Here is a 22900-nt window from a genome sequence, read left to right as displayed (position 1 = left end):
TATCCTACTTTGTGCCTTCGTGGCATTAGACACTGCTGACCACCCCACCATGGAACTTTTTTCCTGCTTTGACTTACATGACCCTACTTTTTCCTGGTGCTTCTGTCTTTGTAGCTTTTTCCCTTGCAGCCTCTTTGGGGGTGTCCTCTTTTCTTATTCATTCATTCAACAAATGTTTGTGAAGCTGGATCCTGGAGCTGCAGTGGTAGGTGGGATATAATCTCTACCCTCATTGCTACAGGATACAAGAGAAACAATCAAATAATTACACAAATCACTGTAAATAGTTACACACACATTCTGGTAAATGCTGGGAGGGGGTGCCTTGGGGGTCTCAATGGTGAGAAACACGTGACATCTGAGTCATGTGAAGGCATCATCCATCTCACTGTACTACCTTTCCTGCTTTTTGGGAATATGAGATTTTGGTGAATGAATGCATATTCATCTTAGTCATACTCTTAATTGTTTAATAATTGTCAGTCACATACCCTTTCACAATCTGCTGTTTCCAAGTGTAGATATTTTTATCCTTTTAATATAAATTCTTCTCCTCAGTCCCTTGTTAGTAGTTATGGAGAGACTTGGGCTGAAATACATTTTTGTAAATCTTGAGTTCAGTTATGCCTTAGTTGAGCAGCAGCAGCTAGAACTTCCCAGAATTCCAGGTGTCCATCTATTTGCAGCTGAATTCCATCCGCTTTCTTAAAAACTGATTTCCCTATGTGGCTATCTAAATTTAATCTCATGTGTTAGAGCAGGCAGCCTACTACACGCACATCTCTGAACACTACTTTGCAATATGCCATATTGCTGAAGAGGTGTGGACAGAGTACACAGTTGGTTTGAGTCTGGCTTCCATCACTTCATTCTTTTGACAGGTTATTTAAATTCACTGCCCAAGGAAGCAAAACTAGTAAACCAGCAATGAAACTCGGGCCATCTTACCGGGATTGGGAGTTCACCCTGTAAAATAAGCCATGGTCTTGTAAATGACCATTGTCAATGGTGAGGAAAGGTTGTCCCATAGTGTGCTTCCCTAGCCACTCTAGAAGCACAGGAAGCACTGGCCTTGGAGTGAGGCCAGTGCCTAACGTACCTTGGTAAGGAATGATCTAAGGCAGTGCTTCTCAACAGGGGCAATTTTTCCTCCACCCGCACCCCCCACCCCAGGTACATTTGGCAATGTAAGAAACAGACTCACCTATTTCTAGAGAAGTCCTCAAAAGATATTTTTAAAAATTAAAAGTAACTATAGATTCAGAGCTTTCTGGAAAAGTGTACAGATCATTTATTCATTCAACACATTCTGAACACCTACTGTGAGTCACGAGCCAGGGTTAACCTTCAACAAGTTTGGTCCTTGCCCTCAAGAAGATTATAATCCATCTGCATTGGTGGTCCTCAAATTTTACCGTGCATCAGAATCCCTTGGAGGCTTGTGAAAAACTCATTTCTCGGCCCTACTCCCAGAGTTTCTGATTCAGTGGGTCTGGGGTGGGGCCCAAGAATTTGCATTTCTAACAAGTTCAGGATCACACTTGAAAACTATTGCTCTAGGGGAATAAGGAAAGAAAGCTCCTGGGGTTTTGAGGATCAACATTTGCAGTATCTGGGGGACACTTGAATGGCTTGATTCTATCTGTCAGAATGTCTTTTTGGAAAAAGGAAGGTTTCATAGCCCATGGCTGTTAGAGACAGACTTGGTGTTTCACTAACAACTAGGATTATTGCTAAAAGCCCGGACATTTTAATGCCTATTTCTCTAAAGCCAGCAAGGTTGAACATTTTTTCATCTTAAAAAAAAAATCTTTTTTTACATGACTTATGTTTTCATTTCAGTTATTTTTTTAAAAAATTTTCTGCTGAGGTCTTGGTGAGCAAATGGTTTTAAACTCCACACTTTTGGCTAAGAATGAGATGTAAGATATAGACACTAGTTCTTAAAATTCAGCACTGTTCACTTTTGCCAAGTGAATATAAACTGAATTGCATCAAATTACAGAGAACAGTGTATCTAGAATATTGTTTTATTTTATCATTTTTACCTTTCCATTGAAAGATGAAATCAGGCGATCAAAGTAGCAAGGGTTAAGTTTCTAGACTACCACAAATTAGAATTGACAAGAAAAGCTTTCTGATCCATATTTGCCTGGGAAGGCTCCAAGGGAAACACAAGAAGCAGCAACTCAAATCCTGTTCTCTTCATTATCCTTTTTTTTTTAATAGCTCTTGCATAGGCTCGGTTTTTGGAAGTTGTATGCTGCTAATTTAGGTATATATGTCATTACAATTTTAGCATGGATCCTTCTCAGGCATACACAAGAGATGCCAGACATGTGAAAAAAGGAGGGAGCCAAGCACAGGAACCTCAGGGACACTGGCATAACTGTTCTAGAGTCAGAAACCACATGAACACATACCGAATTGATAGACATGAGGTTCAAGTCTATTCTGTGCCCTGTCTCGCTCTCTTCTTAACATCCGCTTCTCTTTCTGGAACTGTATTTCATATAACTCTTTAGGTGAGAACTAGAGCTATTCAGTCAAAGACTAAAAAGAGGCAAGGTTGGACCAAGTTTAAGAATCAGGTAACAATTAGCTTTGTGATGGTTAATGAAATCATTTGTCTCGGCATAGACTCTTCCCCTGGAAGTGTCTTGCAAAAGCTGGTTGTTGGTGAAGTAGGATAGAGAGTTAAGGGAATGGGTTAGATGACTTCCAAAGCCCTTTTATCTACAAGGTGAATCTGTAAGTGTAAGAGTCTTAGGTCAACATTTATTGGAGTGCAGATATGGACAGAGCTCTGTGCTAGGCACTGGGCCGCAGAGACATGAAACATGGTTTTGACCCTTGGAGGCTTGCTCCCTAATCAAGGGGACCAGGTAGACAGACATTTAAATAAAATAAAACAAAAACGCAAAGGAACATAGACTAGGCATTCTTTTTAGCTCTGGAACTCGCGTTGAGGAGGATCACATTGATTACTTTTAGGGTTAACTCCTAGAACTGAGGAGCACCTTATTTCAGTTAGAACTTCCCATATAAAAATAAAGATGAAAACATGGAAAAAGATACCCTTAAAAAATTGGAATTCAGTGCAAATTTTATTAGACTACAAAAACATATCATACAATTATTATTTTAGATATATTTATGTAAAGTCATAAAAGCTATGATTTTTGAAAAACAGCATAAGAAATAATTTTTTAATTTGTTATATAAGTAAATGAACTTTAGCATCTTAAGGATTCAATGATACAGTTTTTAGATTTATTTTTTAAATTGACAAATACCAATTGTACATATTCTTGAGAGCACATAATTATATTTCCATACATATAATTTATAGTTATCAGATCAGGGTAATTCGCACATCCACCATCTCATATGTTTATCATTTCTTTATGTTGAGAATGTGCAATATCCTTCCAGCTATTTGAAACTATATATTGTATTATTATTAACTATAGTCATTCTACAGTGCTGTCGAACACTAGAACTTATTTCTCTTATCTCGCTATAATTTTGTATCTTTTAACAAATCTCTCTGTCACTCTCGTCCCAGCCTCTAGTATCCTCTGTCCTACTTTTTACTTCTATGAGATCAACTTTTTTTAGCTTTCGCATATGAGTGAGAACATGCACTGTTTAACTTTCTGTTCCTGGCTTTTTTCACTTAAAATAATGTCCTCCAGTTTCATCTATATTCCATCAACGATGGGATTTCACTCTTTTTTATGGCTGAATAATACTCCATAGTGTGTATATATCACATTTTCTTCATTCATTCATCTGTTGTTGGACACCTAGGTTGACTCCATATCTTGGCTATTGAGAATAGTGCTGCAGTAGACATGGGATGCAGATATCTCTTCGTTATACTATCAATGACTTGTTTTGTTTTCTTTTTTGAAACAGAGTTTCTCTCTTGTTGCCCAGGCTAGAGTGCAGTGGCAGGATCTCGGCTCACTGCAACCTCCACCTCTCGGGCTCAAGCAATTCTCCTGCCTCAGCTCTCGAGTAGCTGGGATTACAGTTGCTCACCACCACACCTGGCTAATTTTTGTGTTTTTAGTAGAGACAAGGTTTCACTGTGTTGGTCAGGCTGGTCTCAAACTCCCAGTCTCAGGTGATCTGCCCATCTTGGCCTCCCAAAGTGTTGGGATTACAGGCGTGAGCCACCACGCCCAGCCTCAATGACTTGTTTCAATGAATTCTCTCTTTGAAGACATACTGGTATCTCCTGCTTATTGACAATTGTGGCAGCAGCTTCCAAAAGCTGATTTTTCTGACATCTTTGAAACTTTTGGACACTTCTCCCATTGGGAAAATAGAATTTTTCTTTTGAATAATTCTCATTTCCCACTAAGCATATAAGCAACCTGGAGTATCTTGTAAGACCCATACAGATTAATATTTCAAGCATAATAATCCTTATACATTCCTTTTTGACGATGGAGACTATGGTTACGAGTAGCAGTTTTTAAATAAGGACTACTTTTGAGGTCCCAAAGCTTTGAAAACCTGAGGTATAAACAAAACAACATATTCCAATGAGATATTGATATCTAAACTAGTTTTCTTAAATCTGTCATTCAAAGGTTGAGAATTTCTTCCTGAAATTTAGACAATATATTATGGAAATGCGGTTTGTCTTTTTGTAAATTTAGGATGATTCTTTTTAAAAATAATTATAGGCATTGTTTATTCTGTATATTAGTGTAATAGTCAATGCAGTAGCTAGAATTGTGGTTGCTAATAGTCACAAAATCTAGTAAAATTGTGAGTACATGAACCCATCCCAGGAAACTGATGGGACAAGTAGTAAATTTTTTTGACTCTTTAACAAAAATATTTAATGCTGCCAAAAAGTATAAAAATACAGTAGGAATGGCAGTACAACACAAATTAATCTCTCCTAATTTATTTCTTTTACATATTTCTACGTTTCATACACCCATTAAAAACACTTAACAGGCCAATGCGGTGGCTCACGCCTGTAATCCCAGCATTTTGGGAGGCCGAGGCGGGCGGATCACGAGGTCAGGAGATCGAGACCATCCTGGCGAACACGGTGAAACCCCATCTCTACTAAAAATACAAAAAATTAGCCAGGCTTGGTGGCGGGCGCCTGTATTCCCAGCTACTCCGGAGGCTGAGGCAGGAGAATGGCGTGAACCCAGGAGGCGGAGCTTGCAGTGAGCCGAGATCGCGCCACTGTACTCCAGCCTGGGCAACAGAGCAGAGACTCCGTCTCAAAAAAAAAAAAAAAAAAAAAAAAACACAACGACACATCCAATGTAAGGTTCTGCAAAGTCTTCTGCTGGTGGGTGCTCCTCATACCCTGTATGTAAAGTTTACTTTGTAAACAAACAACTGTGAGGCAATCTAGAAGGTTAGCAAGCCTCACTTTAGTTTCTGGAGTGGGCTTCAGGTCTTGTTTTGCACATCAGTGGTTCAAAATTTATAGCTCCAGAATATTCTCAAGTCATGAATATTAGGTGTCTATCTTGGCCTTTTTCTTTTTTGTTCGTTCTCATTTAGCCTCTGTTTCATCTGCTGCACCTTCTGAGCTGTGGTGGCCTTTCTGTCCTCTAGAATATGTTTCCGTAGAGCATTCTCACTGTTCTCTTCCATTGTATCTTGCATTTACTGTACATCGGTCACCTGTCAGTTTTTCTTCTTCTAGACCAATTCTGTTCCCATTGTATTTTTCAGTCATTATTTTGTTCGGTGAATGATCAAAAGCAGGAGCTAAGTTTTCCTTAGAAAATTCTTTCCACCGTTTCTGTATACTAGAATCTACCTTTATACATTTTGCTCCTTCTATTATAGCCATGTATGAGAATCTCAGTTGATCTGGGGTCTGAATAAGACCCATTCAGTATTTTCTCATGTTCAATAACACTTGTTTAATGTTAATATAATCTCCTTTTCCCATCAAAACAAGACAAGCGTCTACCAGAGAGAAGGTGCCCGTGCACCCAGTGCCTTCGCTACAATGGATCACTGCAGGCCCATGGTCAGGGTTCAAGGAGCCAGATTCTCTCACTTTCAACAAGAAATTGAGAAATGAAGCTGGTGATTCAGGGACTCCAAAATCTGGCCAGGTCGTATAATGCAAGTGAGATATTGTTCTGGTTTCACCACTATTGATATTTTCTAATCGTAGTAGATGTACTGTGTAATATGACTTCACATCTTCTGAAAGAGCTTCACATTGAATCCCGTTTCTTTAAACAGCATCTTTTGGTCATCTGTTGGCCAGTACTGCGCACATTTAACCGATTCTTTCTCCACAATGCGGTTCAGCACAACAACTGCTTTGGTCTTCTGCTGCCAAACCGTAAGCCAGAAATGGCAGCACATGTTAGGAAGTGGACCCGGTGTTAAGATGTAACTCCTTCGTGCCTCTTCTATGTCAACTAAGCTGGCATTAATATAATCATTCTCAGTATTCTGCAGTTTAACACGACTGTGATCATATGGGCTTACATCTCTGTATCTATTTCGATTTCTGTTTTCTGGAAACTTGGCCACTCTATGAAGATAGTCATGGGACTCATTTCGAATTTCCAAGTACGGCAGCTGCCAGCGATGCTGAGCATCCAACTCCTTGAACTCCCGCTCAATGATGGTGGGCATGGCTGGGACAAATAGTGAATCTTAAGAGAAATGGAAGAGTGAGGTTGGCTCCTAAGCTGGACAGACACTCAATGTGGTTTATTATAGTCAATCATTACTCAAGGAAGTTGTATATATTCTATTCATATATATATTTGGTAAATTTCTAATTACCATACCCCTATGAAGTCATTACCATACTCCTATAAAGTATTATCTTCATTATAAAGTGAAGAGAGTGAGGCTGAGAGAAGTTAAATTATGTGCCCAAGGTCATGGCTAGTGAATGAGCAAACTTGGTTTCAAAGTCAGGTCTGTCTGGCTCCCAAGCCACCAGTCTTTTACGTTACCACATTGTCTTAGTCTGGGCTCTCCCGAAAGCAAAGCCTGTACAAACAACTTGGAGGTAGGTAGGGAGTTTATTTGGGAATGTGACACCAAGGAATAGACTGTGATAAGACAGAAGAATGACCCCCCGGAAGGAGAGAAAGCCAACCCAAGGGTCCCTTTCAAATTGGCAACCATTATGAATATCTGCTACTTGATCCTGTGGGAGCTTCTGAGGAACCTTTTAACATGCATCTCAGAATTGGCCACCCTGGGCTAAAAATGAGACAAGCATTTTTTCTATGAGCTCCTGTCCCTCAGTGGTCAGGGCAAGCTTACAGGCCTTAACTGTCCTGCATTTCCAGATTGTCCATATCTGAGTGCCAAGTGGTTCCCATGGGACTCCTGTGTCACAGCTCCAATGTAGCCCTGGGGCCAGAAACTAGGGGCAGAGGCCAAAAGCAGGTGCTGTGAGGTTGCATCCGCACAAGGTAGAAGAAGCCCACAGAGACCTGGGTACCATAGCAGTGTTTGAAATAAGAGGTGAAATTGAGAACACGTGATATATTGCTCAGAATGTTTAGAGACACATGACCAGTTACAATGAGAGAGTGGAATGAGAATCTTCAATGTCTCATCATGCATTCATTCATTCATTTATCCATTCAGTCACCAACGAATGCTGGGTAGTATATGAAGTGATAGAAGAATTAAAATGGGTCTAGCTGAGTCTCAGATACGACAGAAAAGAAAATAGACAATATGATAGTGTGTGCTAAGTGCTTCAATAGAAGTATACAAAAAGGTAGTAAAAGTATCGAAGAGAGATACCCAGTGTATTCTGTGTGTGGACAGAGAGGGGGTGTGGGGAGAAGGGAGGTCATTTTCCTAGAGCTTAGTCTTGAAAGATAAATAGAAGTCAGCCAACTGAGGAGAAATATGAGCATCAACTCTATATTCAAATTAAATTTTAGTATTTCAATATTAAATTTCCTAAGTATGATCCTTGTGGTTATGTAAGAGAGTGTCCTATTTTTAGGAGATACTTGCTGAAAAATTTAAGAGTAAAGTGTCATAATGTCTGCAACTTACTCTCAAATGATTCAGCAAAGTAAATATTTGGGGATGGGGAAAAGCAAGTGAACACAAATGTAGCAAAATGTTAATAACTGGTGAATATAACTAAAGGATATGTGTGTGTTTATTGCACTAATCTTACAACTTTTTTAAATTTTCTGAAATAAAAAAAGGAGAGGAGAAAATTAATTGAGGGCCATGGGCAGGGGTTGGGGAGGAGCAGTCTGGGATGGGCTTGTGAGAGGGACACCAATACCTGAGGACGCTTGGGGCATTTTTAAAATTGCAGCGATTGGCCAGGTGCAGTGGCTCACACCTGGAATCCCAGCACTTTGGAGGCCAAGGCAGGAGGATCGTTTGAGACCAGTCTGGGCAACAGAGCAAGACCCCGTCTCTACAGAAAATACAATATTAAATAGCCAGGCATGGTGGCACATGGCTGTGGTCCCAGCTACTCAGGAGGCTGACGTGGGAGGATTGCTTAAGCCCAGGAGTTTGAGGCTGCAATGAACTATGATCGCACCACTGCACTCCAGCCTGGGCAACAGAGCAAGACCCTGTCTCTAAGAAAAGTAAATAAATTGCAGTGGTTAGTGGGACACCATGGGACATAAATGCTCATGATAGAGAAGCAACAAAAATGAGACAAGAAAAGGGAGTGATCTGTGCTAGAGTGTTGGGCTGCATCCTAGAGGCCTGGGTGACATTGAATAATTTCATGCATCTTTTGTGTTTAAATGGTCACTTTAGCAGCAGTTTAATGAGAATGGATTAGAAAAGGCCAAAACTGTGGCAAGAAGTTTAGTTTTTATGTTATGGTATTTAAGGTTACAGGTTCTATAGGCCTACCGGAAAATGGTGCCAAGATAAAGTGAAGACAGCTTTGAAACTGCAGAGGGCAGAAGAGTCAACAGGACTTGGCAATCCCCTATACTCAGTGAGTTCCTAAGATGGACTTGGTTCAGTTCAGTGATGAGCCTTTTAAACCCCAAAGAGAAGGAAGACTTGCGGAGGAAAAAAATTAGTTTTAGAATGTATTTAACCATGAAATAATGAATTAAGGTGCTTAGTTTATACATCAGGGGTTTATTTATCTTTTATCACCATAACTAGTACTGCTTGCATTATAGTAGGTATTCGATAAAATTTTTTAAACTGTGTTTAGAAATCATGATAGTAGATGGTAAAATGCTTTCTTCAGTTGCTGATACTCGGGGGAAATATGTTGTATATTTTAATGTTTTCTCCCTGAGGGCTAAGCATTTGGTGAACATCTGTCTCCTAACACCTGTTGGGCTGGTTTACCTGGCAATCTAAAGTGAACATGTGCCAGGGTAGTGCCACTTAAAGTACCTTCACTTTTTAGAATCTATCAGATGTGTTTAGAATCAGTTTTGTCTTCCACCAGCTAGTTTTCTCAGTTTAGAAAGTACATGTATTTCTACTTCTTAGTAAATGTAATATATGACACATGAATTTAAAGAACGTACAAAGTAGGAAACATTTATATTTCATACAACTTGAATTTTCAAATGCAAAAATTTCCTCTTGGGAGTGAGTCTTATGTTTTGGAGCAGGAATGACAGAACAGATATGGTACCAAAGCCAAGCTCACCTAGATATTGCAGACACACAGGCAAAAGAGGAGGTGGCCCGAGTGTGTCATCCGAGGGTCCCTCGGCATGGGAGCAGTTCCTCTGGTGGGTAGTGAACTGAGCAAAGAGGCAAATGAATGATAGGTAGTTACACAGAGAGAATCCCTACATTAAGGAAGTACGACAAACACGAGGACTCGATTTAGATTCTATGTCTAAGAGCCTTCCTTTGACATCCCTCCCCACCATGTCAGGGAGGATATGTACTCTCATTCCATTCAGTCGTTAGCACTGCTCACACTGGTAATAGCTTCTCGTTGTCTGCTTTCCTCTTTGGACTTTAGATAGCCCCTTGAAAGCCACCCACCTTTGTGTTCCCAGTGTTTAGATTGGTCCCTAGCACAATGTCAGTGTTCTGTAACTTTTACATACATGAATGAACAAATGGACAAATGAACATACATGACTTCCTAAAAGGATGTCATAGCTCCTGATAGTCATGACAGCACTAGTATTAACCTTTGTTTTGTAATGAGTTTCAATTTAATGTTAAGGAAAATATAGGATTTTAAAAACTAGTACACACACATACACATATTCCAGAGTCTTTCTAGTGAGTTTGAATATTAATTTATAAAAGAATCTAACATCACATGCTTTAAAAAATAGTGTTTGTGGCCAGGTGTGGTGGCTCATGCCTGTAACCCCAGCACTTTGGGAGGCTGAGGCAGGCGGATTACTTGGGGTCAGGAGTTCCAGACCAGCCTGGCCAACATGGCAAAACCCCGTCTCTACTAAAAATACAAAAATTAGCCAGGCGTGATGGCGGGCGCCTGCAATCCCAGGTACTCGGGAAGCTGAGGCAGGAGAATTGCTTGAACCCGAGAGGCGGAGGTTGCAGTGAGTCGAGATCATGCCACTGCATTCCAGCCTGGCGTGCAGGCTGAGATGGAGCAAGACTCCATCTCAAAAAAAAAAAAACAAACAATTAGTGTTTGTGCCAGGCACAGTGGCTCATGCCCGTAATCCCAGTACTTTGGGAGGCCGAAGCAGGAGGGTCTGTTGAGGCCAGGAGTTCAAGACTAGCCCGGGCAACATAGTGAAGCCCTGTCCCTACACACACACACACAAAAAGTACAAAAATTACTCAGACATGGTGGCCTGCACCTGTAGTCCCAGCTACTCAGGAGGCTGATGCAGGAGGACCACTTGAGCCCAAGAGCTGCAGTGAGCTGTGATTGTGTACTGCTCTCAGCCTGGGCAACAGCGTGAGAATCTGTTTATTACTCTGAACACTATCACTATTACTGTAAGAGTGATAGAGTTTATTACTAAGTTGTTGTTTTAGAATCTGTCAAATACAGAGATGCTGCCCCAATCTGGTCAGACATTCGTATTTATTTATTTATTCAGACAGCATCTCACTCTGTCACCTAGGCTGGAGTTCAGTGGCTCAATTACGGCTCACTGCACCCTTGACCTCCTGGACCCAAGCGAGCACCTGAGTAGCTGGGACCACAGGTGTATACCAGCATGACCAGCTATTTTTCTTATTTTTTGTAGAGATGGGGTCTCACTCTGTTGCCCAGGCTGGTGTTGAACTCCTGGGCACAAGAGTTCCTCCTACTTGGCCTCCCAAAGTGTTGAGATTACAGGTGTGAGCCATTGCACCCAGCGTCTCTGATTCTTTTGATTCCATTGAAACTAAAGTTTCAGTACATCAAGAAAGAAAGCAGCCCAAAGGAACTCACACCGTCCCTTTATTCACTATCAGGGACAATGTTAATAGGGACCGCTTCCAGCTGTCTGCACAATGTCCTTTACTGTCCAAGACCAGCACTTCCAAGATAGCGTGGTTCATTTGGTCTTAGGAACAGATACTGAGGAGTTGGTCCATAACCCACAGCAAAGCTCTGCAGGCACCTGATACCATGGAGAGGTGTTCTGACATTCTTATACGTCCCCCAAGGCAGAAACTGTAGGTTCTGAGTGACATCTCATCATAATTAGTGGAAGCATTAAGAGGCAAGCAAGCATAATTCTGGGCAGAGAAGGGCTCCCATCATAAGAATTTTGCAAACCGCATACTCTTTTATTTTGTAACAATGCTTGTAATTTATCTTTTGGAAAGAGGCACACAGATCTTGATGTAACTTGTGTAATAGACACTGTTCGCTAATGAAATATCCTTTTCAAATGAAAGGAAAATATTAGTTTCCTAGTCAGGTGCTGTATTAGTCCATTCTCGTGCTGTTAATAAAGATATACCCAAGACTGGGTAATTTATAAAGGAAAGAAGTTTAATTGACTCACAGTTCAGCATGGCTGGGGAGGCCTCAGGAAACTTACAATCGTGGTGGAAGGGGAACCAAAAAGGTCTTTCTTTACATGGCGACAGGAAGGAGAAGTGCCGAGCAAAAGCAGGAAAGCCCCTTATAAAACCGTCAGATCTCATGAGAATTCACTCAGTATCACAAGAACAGCATGAGGGTAACCACCCCCATGATTCAATTACCTCCCACTGGTCCCTCCCACAACACGTGGGGATTATGGGAACTACAATTCAAGATGAGATTTGGGTGAGGACACAGCCAAACTCTATCAGGTGCTTATGATCATTTTAAAACCTGAAACAGTGGTATTCCTATTGCAAATTTTCTTAGAAAAACACCATTAGATAAAATGCAACAAGCAATAAAATAGCATTTTATGTTGTAGAATGATAACTTTTATTTTCTCCTAAACATATTGACTAACCCATATCTTTTTTTGAGACAGAGTCTCACTCACTCTGTTGCTCAGGCTGGACTCCAGTGGCACAATCTTGGCTCACTGCAGCCTCTGCCTCCCGGGTTCAAGCAATCCTCCCTGCTTCAGCCTCCCAAGCAGCTGGGATCACAAGTGTGTGCCACCACGCCTGGCTGATTTTTGTATTTTTAGTAGAGACGGGGTTTCACCACATTGGCCAGGCTGGTCTCAAACTCCTGACTTCAAGTGATCCACCAGCCTTGGCCTCCCAAAGTGAGCCACTGTGCCTAGCCATATCTTTGTATTAAAAAAAAAAAAAATCTAAAGTCCTGTTTGTAAGGACTCTTTTCCCATGGTGTTAGACAGACAACATAATGCTCTATAGCAAACCACCCCAAACTCAGTGGTTTGTATCAACACGTATCTGTTCTCATATTCACAGGTTAAGGTTGGCTGAGGTTTAGCATCTATGGAATGGGCTCAGCTCTTGACTCGGCTTAAGGCTGTGGGTAGAGGAAACCAATCTTGAGTCAGTTGAAAATAAGCTTGCCCTGTGTTTTGTTCATGAGGTTTTGCCAACATACATAATTATTAAACTTTCACTGAAAATGTTTAGCAACAATATTTTTTATGAAATGGGAGGGTAAAGTGAGAAAACTTAAAACTGGAGCAGTGCCTTACCTGTAGTAAGTTCTCAAATAATATTTGGGAAAAGAATAAAACAATGGAATATAAAGAAATCAGAGATGATAAAATTTTCTTAAAACTGTAACTAAGCAAACCTTGGACAAAACCTGACAAAGCTAAGCAGCAGAACACTTTTTCCCCATTGCCTTTGTCATGAGTTATGTGAATAACATCTCAGGAGGACTTCAGGCTTGGCATGGGCCACACACATTATCTCTGCTCCTTGCTGAAAACCCATCAGTAATGCTGAAGGAGTAGGATAGGGATAAAGAATGTTTTGAAAGATGGGAGACACATGGACCAGTGGTAATTAACAGCATGAAACCTACACCTACAAATGTGTGTGTTGTAGGGGGTTAGTTAAGAGTCAAGTTTCAAGAAAGGGGAGCCTTCAGGTACCCCTAAAGGTGGATTCACGGTAGGATTGAAAATTCAATAATTAATGAAATATTGTATAAAGAATAATTAAACTGGACTGGGCATGGTGGCTTATGCCTGTAATCCCAGCACTTTGAAAGGCTGAGGTAGGAGGATCAGTTGAGGCCAGGAGTTCAAGACAAGTCTGGACAACATAGCAAGACCCCATCTCTAAGAAGAAATACAAAAATTAGCTGGGCATGGTGGCACCCGCCTGTAGTTCCAGTTACTCAGAAGGCTGAACTGGGAGCACCACTTGAGCCCAGTAGGTTAAGGCAGCAGTGAGCTTTAATTGTTCCACTGAACTATAGCTTGGACAACAGAGCAAGACCCAGTCTCTAAAAAAAGAGGAAAATCACACTTCCAGATTCCCTCCTCAACAGTGTAGTTAGGAAACCACTTCTCCCCAAGTATAAAACGTGAGGTTGGCCGGGCTCAGTGGCTCACGCCTGTAATCCCAGCATTTTGGGAGGCCAAGGCAGGCAGATCACGAGGTCAGGAGACCAACACCATCCTGGCCAACATGGTGAAACCCCGTCTCTACTAAAATACAAAAAATTAGCCAGGCGTGGCGATGCACACCTGTAGTCCCAGCTACTCGGGAGGCTGAGGCAGGGGAATTGCTTGAACCCGGGAGGCAGAGATTACAGTGGGCTGAGATCACGCTACTGAACTCCAGCCTGGCAACAGAGCAAGACTCCGTCTCAAAACAAACAAACAAAACGTGAGGTTTAGTCTCCAGCAGTGTGCCATAGAACTTTCCGTGATGATGGAAGTGCTTTATATCTGCATTGTCCAACAACTAGTGGCTCAATAGCCACCTGAAATGTAGCCAGTGTGGCTGCACGTGGTGGCTCATACCTGTCATCCCAACACTTTGGGAGGCCGAGGTGGGTGGTTCGCTTGAGCCCAGGAGTTCAAGACCAGCTTGGGCAACATGTTGAAAACCCGTTTCTATAAAAAACACAAAAATTTGCTGGGCATGGTGGCACACACTTGCAGTCCTAGCTACTCAGGAAGTTGAAGCTGAGGCAGGAGGATCTCTTGAGCCCAGGAGGTTGAGGCTACAGTGATCCATGATTGCACCACTGCACTCCAGCCTGGGATACAGAGTAAGACCTTGTCTCAAGAAAAACCCACAAACAAACAAAAATACATGAAATATGGCCAGTGTGACTGAGGAAATGAAGTTTAGTTTTAATTTTGATTTAAATAGCCACATATGGCTAGTGGCTGACATATTGGACAGCGAAGCTCTAGACTCAGGAATACTGGGCACTGCTGAGAATGGGATGGATTCTTTTGCAGAAAAACAGGAAGTGAGTAGAATTCTTCAAGTGACTGCTGAGATCTGTCAACCTCTTCTATTACATGGGGCCCAGGTTGGAGGATTCCTTTCTGACAAAACTATGCTGCCAGATTTATATGAATAACAGAATAATATTAATATTATTAATATATTAATAATAATAATATTCAGTTATTCTCAATAGAGCAGCCGGCACTCTAATTCATCACCCAGTGACAACACCCTCACACAGAGTTAGCATTTGTTATTGTCGTTTTGTTTTGAGATAGGGTCTCACTGTATTGCCCAGGCTGACCTTGAACTCCTGGCTCAAGCAATCCTCCATCCTCAGCCTCACATCCATCAGCATTTTAAATGCCTCGCTCTCAAATCCGACTAGGTAGCCAAGGATCACCATGCATGTGGGGAAAGCTGCCCAGCTGAAATGGAAATCAATGCAAACAGAAGAAAAAGAACTGAAACAAGACATGACAGGGAACATAAGAAAAAAAATAGTTTTTTTAAGAGAGAAGATATTGCAACCTAAAACAAGATCAGAGGCTATATAAAAGATTGGAGGCCAGGAGTGCAGAGGAACACGTTTCTACATCGAGGCGCCTCCTGACTTACCTGAATTCCAACAGAGCACAGTAAGCGCCAGTTCTCTGCCTGTCCTGGATTGGGCCCTGCAGTTGCAGAGAAAGCTCAGGAATAAAAATGGAGGTAAATCTTTAAGTGATTACCTATTCTTCTGACCCACCAGCTACAAATCAGGCGTTCCCACCTCCTTCTCCTCAGGTTCGATTGATTTGACAGAGCAGCTTACAGAGCTCAGGAAAACATTTTACTTATGTTGACCTATTTATTATAGTGGATACAGAGGAACAGATGGGAAAGATGCATAGGGCCAGGTGTGGGGGAAGGGTGCAGAGCTTCCATGCCCTTTTCAGGGGCACCACGTTCCAGGAACCTCCACGTTTTCAGCTGTCTGGAAGCTCTGCGAACCCAGTCCTTTGAGGGTTTTATGGAAGCGTCATTACATAGGCATGATGGACTACATCATTGCCTATTGCTGATCAACTCAACCTTCCGCCCCTCTTCCCTCCCCGGAGGTTGGGGGAGTGAGACTGAAATTCTAACTCTCCAATCTTGCCTTGTTCTTTCTGGTGCCAGCCTCCATCCTGAAGCTACTTAGGGGTCCCCAGCCATTAGTCATCTCATTAGCAAAGCAAGATACCCTTATTGGTCTGGCCGTTCCTAGGGCTTGAGGAACTGTGGCTAGGAAACAGAGATGAAGGCCAGTGGATCACTGGAAGGCTCCCACTATCTCACTTTTGGGGCAGAAGTGGACATTCTGAGGTGAGGAGTGGTTGGTTCAGAACCTCTGACTTGCATGTTCAATCCCAGGCAGAGAGACATCGCTAGGACCTGCCAGGGTGGGTAACCTGCCCACATGGCAGTCACCTGCAGGTGTGGGTGCAGACACATCTAGCTGAGAGTTGAGTGCAACCATTCCAGATGCCCATCCCCAGAAAGAAAATCTCAGACCAGTAAAGCTCTGAATGGAGGTTTGATCTCAATACCAAGGACAATATAAGCAGAGTTGCTTTAAGGATGCTATTGCTGTTGTCCATGGGAAAGACCCTTTATGCCTGAATTATTTTGATTCCAGATTGAAGGAAAAACTGCTAATTTCAGTTCGTTTTATAGAGGCTGGAGTTTTGGGCATTCCTGTTTGACTGTAAACTCTCAATAAGGTAGGGAAATAAATCAGAAATCATGGGTGTACATTTTTAGAGACCTTGACAGACTTATTTTGCAGTTGGGGCTTCAGGGCCCAGAATCTTTTAGCATCCCTGCCCTAGTTGAAATCAGACACACCCTCTCCCTGGTATCCAAACAAAGCTAGTTCAGGTGCTGCCCTGAAGGGATTTGGTTGATGTGAAGTTCCAAGTCCTTAAATTAATCAACAGGAGTACTCTCCTGGATGGGCCTGATTTGATCAGGTGGGTGACATGTAAGTTCTCCTCCTTTACAGGGGAAGACACCAGGACTCGGAGAGTCCCACTTCCCACCTCAGACGCTCTCAAGATGGTGACCTCTCTGGGTTTTAACACCTGGAACAGGCCGGGTGCAGTGGCTCACACCTGTCCATCCCAGCACTTTGGGAGGCTGAGATGGGCAGATCAACTGAGGTTGGGAGTTTGAGACCAGCCTGGCCAACATGGTGAAACCCTATCTCTACTAAAAATACAAAAATTAGCCAGGCGTGGTGGTGCACACCTGTAATCCCAGCTACTCTGGAGGCTGAGGCATGAAAATCGCTTGAACCTGGGAGGCGGAGGTTGCAGTGAGCTGAGATCGCGCCACTGCACTCTAGCCTGGGCAACAGAGTGAGCCTCTGTCTTAAAAAAAAAAAAAAAAAAAAAAAAAAACCTGGAACAGGCAGAGCCTGGAGGATGTGTGTGGACTTCCCATCTGTGCCAAATGTGCTTTGGAGAAAACCCACATAGCTGAATGATTAAAGTCAAGCACGGGAAGGGATCAGCTATGTAGCAGTGCCCTGTGCACCTTGGCGGAAAGGAATTTTTCTGTCCATTGACATTGTAGGTGTTCAGTTTGGAATCTTTCAGTTTTGGGAGTCGCCACCCATCAACTTGTCAGTCCCAAGGGCACTCATGAAGCAGTCGCTCATTGACTCTGCACTGGGGCCGTCCTGCATCACAGTGAGAAATGGGAGACTTCCACAGAGAAAGTGAAGGTCCAAGGTCCAACGTTGTGTGTCCAGAAGAAGGCCAGACTGTGCCCCTGTGGAGTCCTCTGATGAGGCGGATGAGGAATTTTCATTCATTGGGAAATCCAAGGAACAGGAAGCAGAGCCTGAGGAACAGGAGGAGGGCTCAGCCAGCCAGCCAGGCTGTGGCATTTTCAGGACCAGGTGAGTGACGAGAGGAAGAGAGATTGGCCGGCATTGGAAAACAGTGGAGCCTGGAGTGATAGAAGCAGGCAGCTTCAGAAGAGAAGCAGGTGCCTAGCGCCCGGAATGAGCGGATGTCAGTGAAGAAGAAGAGGAAGAAACCGAGGATGAGGAGATGGGGTGGCAGTGCAGCACCCTGTGTCAGGGAGTACAGGAGAGGAGACAGGAGTGTGGGAGGCACAGGGGTGGCAGGGGAGGCGGTGAGGAGGGGCGCCCTGGGGAGCTCAGAGCAGATCTGAGTATGGAGAGTCCACAGACAGTGAGGATGAGACGGAGCCTCGCCTGATGCAGGCCCTCACTGGGAAGGAAGAAGGGCTGAGTGACAGTTCGAGAACCTGAGGCTGAAGCATTGAACCAGAAGGAGCTGGAGCAGGAGGCAAAAGGCACCCTGAGGAGGCATGGTGCCCCCTCCAGACTGTAGGAGACCATGGAAGAGCCTGCGGAGAGCAGGCGGGGCCGCACTACTCTGGATGCGCTCAACACCAAGAGGAGAGTCAGGAGGAGCAGGAGGCATGGAAAGTTCAGAAGCTAAAACAAACAAGGGAGCAGAGACGAGGAAGAAGAGCTTGAGAAGGAGGAAGCAGAAATTGAGCACCTGCGGAAGCTGGCTGAGGAAGAGCAGCAAGCTGAGCTTCAGGCATATGGCAAGGTCATTACCAGCAAAGCCATTCAGGGCAAATATGAGAAATATACAAAAGAGATTTCAGTGCCCCCACCCTGGAGGATCATTTCAACAAAGCCATGCTTCCTAAAGTCATGCAAGAACTTTGGGCACTCTGGTTATACCAAATACACCCATGGTGGGCATTGAGATACCACTTCCTTCTACCCAACACGGGGCCAAGAGAGTACCCAGAACACAAAGTTCTTCAAACAAAAGGTAGCTGAAGCACAAGATGTAGCTGAGCAACCATTTACCAAGAAGCAGAAGACTACTTAGGGGTCAACTCCTTGTTCTCCCAAATGTGGAACTCAAGGGGAAATCTCAGCATCTGGTCCTTGATTTGCTTTTCCTGTTATTTACATGGCCCCTGAATCCAGCCTTTGGACCTACTGCCATGCCTGTGATACTGCGTAGCCCAGTTTTTGAAGGTGCTTTGTGAGATTTAGACTTGTGCTGAAAAATCCCCCAGAAAAGCACTATCCAGGTAGGATTAGAGGCTTCCCACTTACTTCCAGGAAATCTTAGGTTTTATCAATGCTAAGACTTCCCATATTTACATGAGATTGTTCTGATTTTTAATTTTAGAGATGGAGTCTCGCTACGTTGCCCATGTTGGATTTGAACTCCTGGGCTCAAGTGATCCTCCTGCCTCAGCCTCCCAAGTAACTGGGATTACAGGCATGTGCCACCACACACTAGCTCTGAGTTTCGTTTTCCAGCCCCTTAGCTTGGGTCAGAAACATGGGCATGTAAGTGGACAATAAATTTAACCCTTAGGGTTAGGAGTAAAATGCTAGGAAATCTAAATTCATTGAAACTTGTTTTTCATTTTTGGATGACGTCCAGTTTTCTAGATGAACATATTTTTTGATCCATTTATGTGTTTGTATCAAGAAATAAAAGAAACACACACACACACACACCCAAAAGAGAAAAAAACATACAAGAAGGAATGCAGTCTCTGTGCCAGGCCATTCCCAGTGTTTCACTGGTGCCCTGGGGTCCACATGCTTTTTTAAAGAAGACTAGGCCAGGCACAGTGGCTCACGCCTGTAATCCCAGCACTTTGGGAGGCTGAGGCAGGCGGATCACCTGAGGTCGGGAGTTCGAGACCAGCCTGACCAACATGGAGAAACCCTGTCTCTACTAAAAATACAAAATTAGCCGGGCGTGGTGGCAGGTGCCTGTAATCCCAGCTACTCAGGAGGCTGAGGCAGGAGAACTGCTTGAACCCGGGAGGCAGAGGTTGTGATGAGCCAAGATCGCGCCATTGCACTCCAGCTTGGGCAACAAGAGCGAAAACTCCATCTCAAAAAAAAAAAAAAAAAAGACTAAAGTGTGCCAAATTTGCAGTAAATTGGAGAATGTCAGACCTGCCTCTTAGACGTAGAGTGTGGCCAGCACATCCAGGTTCATGACACAGCATTGTCTTTTGAAAGTAATGTGCCAAAGTCAGATGTCAACCGAGGGTTCTACACACAGAATATGGAGAGAGATCTGTAACTCTGATGGAACACGTCTAATTAGCATGCTGGGGAAAGACACATCCCCCAGTGTCGTGCTGCTCAAACTGGCCTGGACCATACCCTACTATCAAAGGAATCAGCCTCACATTTGCTCCTGCTAGGTGAAAGGAGAGTGTCAGAGAAAAGAGGAGCGTCCCTACAGACAGAAGAAGCCTACAGATCTGGATGATCCCCTTGCTGATCAAAATGTTGAAGACTCATATTATGGAATCAATGACCCTATAGCTGATAAGCTTCTAAAGCAGACTTCAACCATGCCTCATCTGGACCCACCAGAGGACAAGACTCTCACCACATTAGACGTGGATGGTCTGGGTGAAACAGATCAGAGAAATCATTTCTACCAGTTAGGAGAGATTGACCATCACTCTAATGCAGAAGCAGCAGGGTGCTTTCACCCAGTTTTCCACAAGGCAGGCTACAGACATGGCTGCTGAGAAGTCCTTTAATAAGTTGATTGCAATCGCCACAGACTCAACGTGAAATCAAGAAGATCTCAAGCAGCCAGAGGAAAAGAAAAAGAAGGACGGAACCACATACTCTGGGATCAAGTTAGAGCCTTTTCCAGGACTGCCATGAGCTCTTCCTCCTGTTGCAGCAGCTACTTCAGCCTACCCCTAAGTGATCCTCCACCACTGTGGTGAACATTGCCCTGCCACCCCCACCACTCCCCGTACTATCAGGTTTGGGGCTACACATGTTCCACCTCATTCCTTTCATGAAGACTCCAGGACCAATCCTTTTCAGGACCCTCAGAGGATGGGAGCTCATGCTGGAAAATACAGCTGCCCCCAGCACATTAGCACTACTCTGGGGCTCTGTGGAAGAAAGGGCACTTAAAACTCCCAGTAAATGAATTTTGGAGTAAATATATTTTTCCTTCCTTCGTAGTTTCCATGGTAGCTGAATATGCTCAGATATGGACAGTCAGTGAAGGACAGCCATGCTTCTCTACACGTGTTCAAAGGATCAATGGCCTTCAAATAAGCTGCCGAGGCCACATCTGGTTACAAATACAACATGACTAATAAAACCTAATGCCTGTTCCCCTCACCTCTGTGAGAATAAGTGGCTGGGTGAATTGGAATGCCTGATGGAGCTGCCATCTCAAAACAAAATGTTCATTTTGTACCTTTTCAGCGGAGGCGGGCAGGGGGAGAATTGATCTTCAGTAAAAAACTTCTGGGCTGGCTGGGCGCAGTGGCTTACGCCTGTAATCCCAGCACTTTGGGAGGCTGAGGCGGGCGGATCACTTAAGGTCAGGAATTGGAGACCATCCAGGCCAACATGGTGAAACCGCATCTCTACTAAAAATACAAAAATTAGCTGGGCATGGTGGCAGGCACCTGTAATCCCAGCTACTAGGGAGGCTGAGGCAGGAGAATCTCTTGAACCCGGGAGGTGGAGGTTGCAGTGAGCCGAGATCGTGCCGTTGCACTCCAGCCTGGGTGACAGAGCGAGACTCCATCTCAAAAAACAAAACAAAACAAAACACCTTTGGGCCATTTTTATGTCCATGGGGGTGTTTTTCTTTGTATCATCTTCGAAAAAAAGAAAAAAGAAAGAAAGGGGGAGAGAGAGAGAAAGGAAGAAAGAAAAAGAAAGAAGGAAAGAGAGAGAGAAAGAGAAAGAAAGAAAAAGAAGAAAGAAAGAAAAAGAAAGAAAAAGAAGAAAGAAAGAAAAAGAAAGAAAGAAAGAAAGGAAAGAAAGAAAGAAAGAAAGGAAAGAAAGAAAGAAAGAAAGGAAGAAAGAAAAAGAAAGAGAGAGAGAAAGAGAAAGAAAGAAAAAGAAGAAAGAAAAAGAAAGAAAGAAAGAAAAAGAAGAAAGAAAAAGAAAGAAAGAAAGAAAGGAAAGAAAGAAAGGAAAGAAAGAAAGGAAAGAAAGAAAGAAAGAAAGAAAGAAAGAAAGAAAGAAAGAAAGAAAGAAAGAAAGAATTGCTAGTACTAGTTACTGCAGTGGTGTCAGGGTGATTTAACTATTGAAGTCATACCCTCAGACAAGTAGAAACCAGCATCCAGCAAAGCCCAAATGCTTTCTTTCCCCTCCTTTTCTTTATTACTAAAGGAATCTGACTGATAGTTTTACTTCTCTATACCACCAAAAAATTAAAATAAAACAATAAAAATTACTTTGTATTCCTGTCAGTCGGATGGAAACACAGATTTCATGGAGCTGTGTATTATTGAAGAAACCCGGTGTCTGGGATGAAATTATTTTCAACAACGTCCTGTAAGACGCTTTCTTTAACAAACAGAAATGAAAAGCATGGAGTGTTTGAATGGAAGACTTGTGACCTGCAGCTGGAACTATGATCTTCCACATTCACCTTTGTGTGTCTTTAGGGGCTCATTGGAATTTCCTGCTCTGGGCAGGGGACTGTCTGTTTGGTCTTAGAAAGTTTGGGTATAACTGTATTATAGATGATAAAGGAAACTTGATGTTGTGTTAAAAAATAAATTTTAAAAAAGAGAAGAAGGGAGAAATCACGAAAGAATTAATTCCAGCAATTTTCACCAAACTGAAGGAAGAATTCAGATTGAAAATGAAAAATGTCTTATGCCGTCCAACAGAACTACATCTGTTCAACAGAGGGCGTGTACAGAAACATTTATGACAGCCCTATCTCTAGTATCCCCAGAATGGAAATAGTCACAAGTCCATCCTCATTAACATTGGATACATCAATTTTATATATATATATATATATATATATATATATATATATATATATATGAACAAGAATGAATGAATTGCCACCACATGCAGCGACGTGGGTGAATCAGACAAAATTAATGGTGAATGAAAGAGACCAGGAGCAAAAGAGTACATTTTTTTTAAAAAATACACATTTTACAATGATTTCATTTCTATAAAAATTCAAAAACAGGCAATCTGATCTATGGTACTGGAAATTACAATAGCAGTTCTCACGAGGAGCAGGTAGTGGCTCTTGGTAGCACTGTTTCT

General features: G+C 42.8%; 1 protein-coding gene and 3 pseudogenes across 2 annotated transcripts in view; 3 read left to right on the top strand and 1 right to left on the bottom strand.

Moving 5' to 3' along the window:
• The window catches only part of HMGB1 (high mobility group box 1), a 160894-nt gene that overhangs the window by 57279 nt on the left and 80715 nt on the right, over nt 1-22900 (top strand).
• Nucleotides 5309-6653, bottom strand: PTPN2P2 (PTPN2 pseudogene 2; annotated as a pseudogene).
• Nucleotides 18327-18876, top strand: MFAP1P1 (microfibril associated protein 1 pseudogene 1; annotated as a pseudogene).
• RBM22P2 (RNA binding motif protein 22 pseudogene 2) lies at nt 19732-21112 on the top strand (annotated as a pseudogene).

This window comes from Homo sapiens, chromosome 13 (genome assembly GCF_000001405.40).
Source record: "Homo sapiens chromosome 13, GRCh38.p14 Primary Assembly".
Taxonomy (NCBI): domain Eukaryota; kingdom Metazoa; phylum Chordata; class Mammalia; order Primates; family Hominidae; genus Homo; species Homo sapiens.
This window is presented reverse-complemented; position numbering and strand designations above follow the sequence as displayed.